Raw genomic sequence first — 2,581 nt, 5'->3', positions numbered from 1 at the left:
TCTTTCTATTGCCCCTCCCAGAAAAGGTCTTCACGTTTATGATTGTATAGCCCAGTCATTAGAAATGTCTGAGAGAGAATTCCACTCTCAGGTTGCATCGTGTGGTTATGAACTTCGTTTGATCACTGCTCCATCAATTTGACATTAACTGCTGCAATTTACAACCACTCCAGCTTTCTACCTATTACTGTACCTTCTGCAAGTGAAAAAAAGAAAAAAGGGGGTAGGGGAGACCTCTGCTGCCCAGGGGAAGTTTAAAAGAATGTGATGGCTTGTTAAAACCTGACAGGGGATCACTGGGGGAAGGGGATCACTGAAGACAACAAACCAAGCCTGGTAATGAATAATGTCTTGCTCCCCGCTGTGAACACCAGTGACCTGACCTGTCCAGCAAGGCAGAGGAGTGAATAATTCACCGTGCGAGTCATAGGCCTCCTGGTAGGCCACAACATTGCTTTGTCTTACAAATATGTTCTCCCACAGAATCAGACCTGACAGGCTGGTTCGTTCAAGAAATGTTTAAACAAAAGCCTTGTGTGAGGGAAAGAGCACTTTGTGATTTTGGCCCAGGGCTCCCAGCGCTGAAGTTTCTGGTGAGCACTTAGCTGGTTAATAAATCCACAAGCATCAAAGCAAAGGTAATCAAAAATGGAACTGGTCAGAAGATGCGGAGGCCCTGCTCCTGTCTGATGAAAGTGTGATGAAGTCAGACAAAAATCCATTTTCACCACATATGCAAATTGAAGTCACATTCATTGTCTGACTTGAACCCACAAAGTGAAGAAAGTATAATGCAGCTGGGAATTCCAGGTGACCACTTGACCTTGACTCTTGCAATTTAATTTAAAAGAGAAAAAATAAGTATATTTCTCTTTGAATGAAGAACCAGAAAGATGTCAAGACTTTTTGGTTGAATTTACTCTTTATGGTGGCTTCAAAGTAGACTGCAGAGGTTTCTGCGAGTTTTTGGAGGCCAGGGCAATTGGTTAGGTCCCTTGGTTTGTGGAAGAAGGGGTCTTAGTGTTACACCAAAGAATAAGATATTCTGAGTCCTTGGCCCCTCTTCTTCCTGGATGGGGATCAGGCAGACATGATGAGACAAATGAAATGGGAAAAAGTGGGAGCCAGCCTCAAGGAAGAACACTTTACTTCTTCATGATGCTTCCCTTTCTGCTGATCTGAGAAAGTGAGGTTCACAGAGAACTGGTAGAATACAGAGAGATTGCCCCCAGAAGGCTTCTGATATCCCCTTCCTAGATATCAATGTGTATATAACTCAGTTGACTATAAGAACAGGACTAGGGAACATTATGTTTGAGCAAAGTTTTACTCTGAATTAATGCTTGACCTAAATTGCTAATGAAATTGCTCACTGGTACGTATTGTAAACTACAAACTGAGCTAAACCAGCCTTGAAACACACTCCACAGGCAAGGCTCCATAACTTAGAGCGGAGACTCAGACCGACCTCATGGTAAAGGGTTCTAAAAGCCCTAAGACAAAAATAGAGTGTGCTTGGCATGAACAGTCACCTCTCCCGACATCCCTAAATAAGTTCCATTATGGAAATGTCGTGAATTAGCCACGGGACACCTTCCTGCTGTTGGGAGTATAAGAGTTAGTCTTCGCCACTTCATTGCCAACCTTTGGCACTGCTAGTCTTTTTAGTTCTGATGCGTAGTGGTTTGTCACTGTGATTTTAATTCATATTTCCATGGTAAGTTAGGGCAACCATAAAATGTATCCTTTAAACAGAAAATGAAAGGTGTGCTTTTAATAACTGAGCAACTAACGTAATCTGGGGCTAATATAGGCAAACTGGGATATATGATCTCCCTACTGCTGACTAATGAGGTTAAGCACTTTTTTATATGTTTGTTGGCTATTTGGGTATCCTCTTTGAGAATTTATCTATTGAGTTGTCTTTTTATTATTTTATTTTTCCATAAGTTATTGGGGTACACAAGAGTAACTTCTTTAGTGGGGATTTGTGAGATCCTGGTGCACCCATCACCCGAGCAGTATACACTGCACCATATTTGTAGTCTTCTATCCCTCTCTCCTTTCCCACTCTTCTCCTCAAGTCCTCAAAGTCCATTGTATCATTCTTATACCTTTGTGTCCTCATAGCTTAGCTCCCACGTGTTGGTGAGAACATACGATGTTTGGTTTTCGAGTTGTCTTTTTCTTACTGATAATACCGATAATAGGAGTTCTTTACATCTTCCTATTATATACATATATATATATATATTTCACATAAACTCATATATGTTTCATAAAGATATTTAGTCATAAAATACCAGTCATCTGTTTTATATATTGGGGTTTAGCATACTATATTGCTAAAATACTTGAAAATCAGTGCTCTAGAATGCTAGTTAAAATGTGCTCTACTTTGCATCTAGAACACATGGTGAACCTATCAGGCCATGGTGTGACATATTAAGACTTTTACTCAGAGTCTATTTTTCTCATTGAAAGAATTTCTAATATTTGATTGCCTCTTTATTGTTACACTTTGCTTTGTTTGGAATTAAAACATTACAGATAGAATTGAAAATTCCAGCATGTCATTTCC

At 40.0% G+C, this 2,581-nt stretch overlaps 1 annotated feature.

The window, feature by feature from the left end:
• Positions 235–1,121: an enhancer, noted in NCBI's record as "OCT4-NANOG-H3K27ac hESC enhancer chr12:43150282-43151168 (GRCh37/hg19 assembly coordinates)". NCBI's record gives its function as "activates a minimal SCP1, AML or CMV promoter by ChIP-STARR-seq in primed H9 embryonic stem cells {active_cell/tissue: H9 hESC(primed)}" and the evidence as "EXISTENCE:reporter gene assay evidence [ECO:0000049][PMID:30033119]".

Source organism: Homo sapiens, chromosome 12, assembly GCF_000001405.40.
Source record: "Homo sapiens chromosome 12, GRCh38.p14 Primary Assembly".
In the NCBI taxonomy this organism is placed as follows: domain Eukaryota; kingdom Metazoa; phylum Chordata; class Mammalia; order Primates; family Hominidae; genus Homo; species Homo sapiens.
The sequence above is the reverse complement of the archived record's forward strand: the minus strand, read 5'-3'. Positions and strand labels throughout refer to the sequence as shown.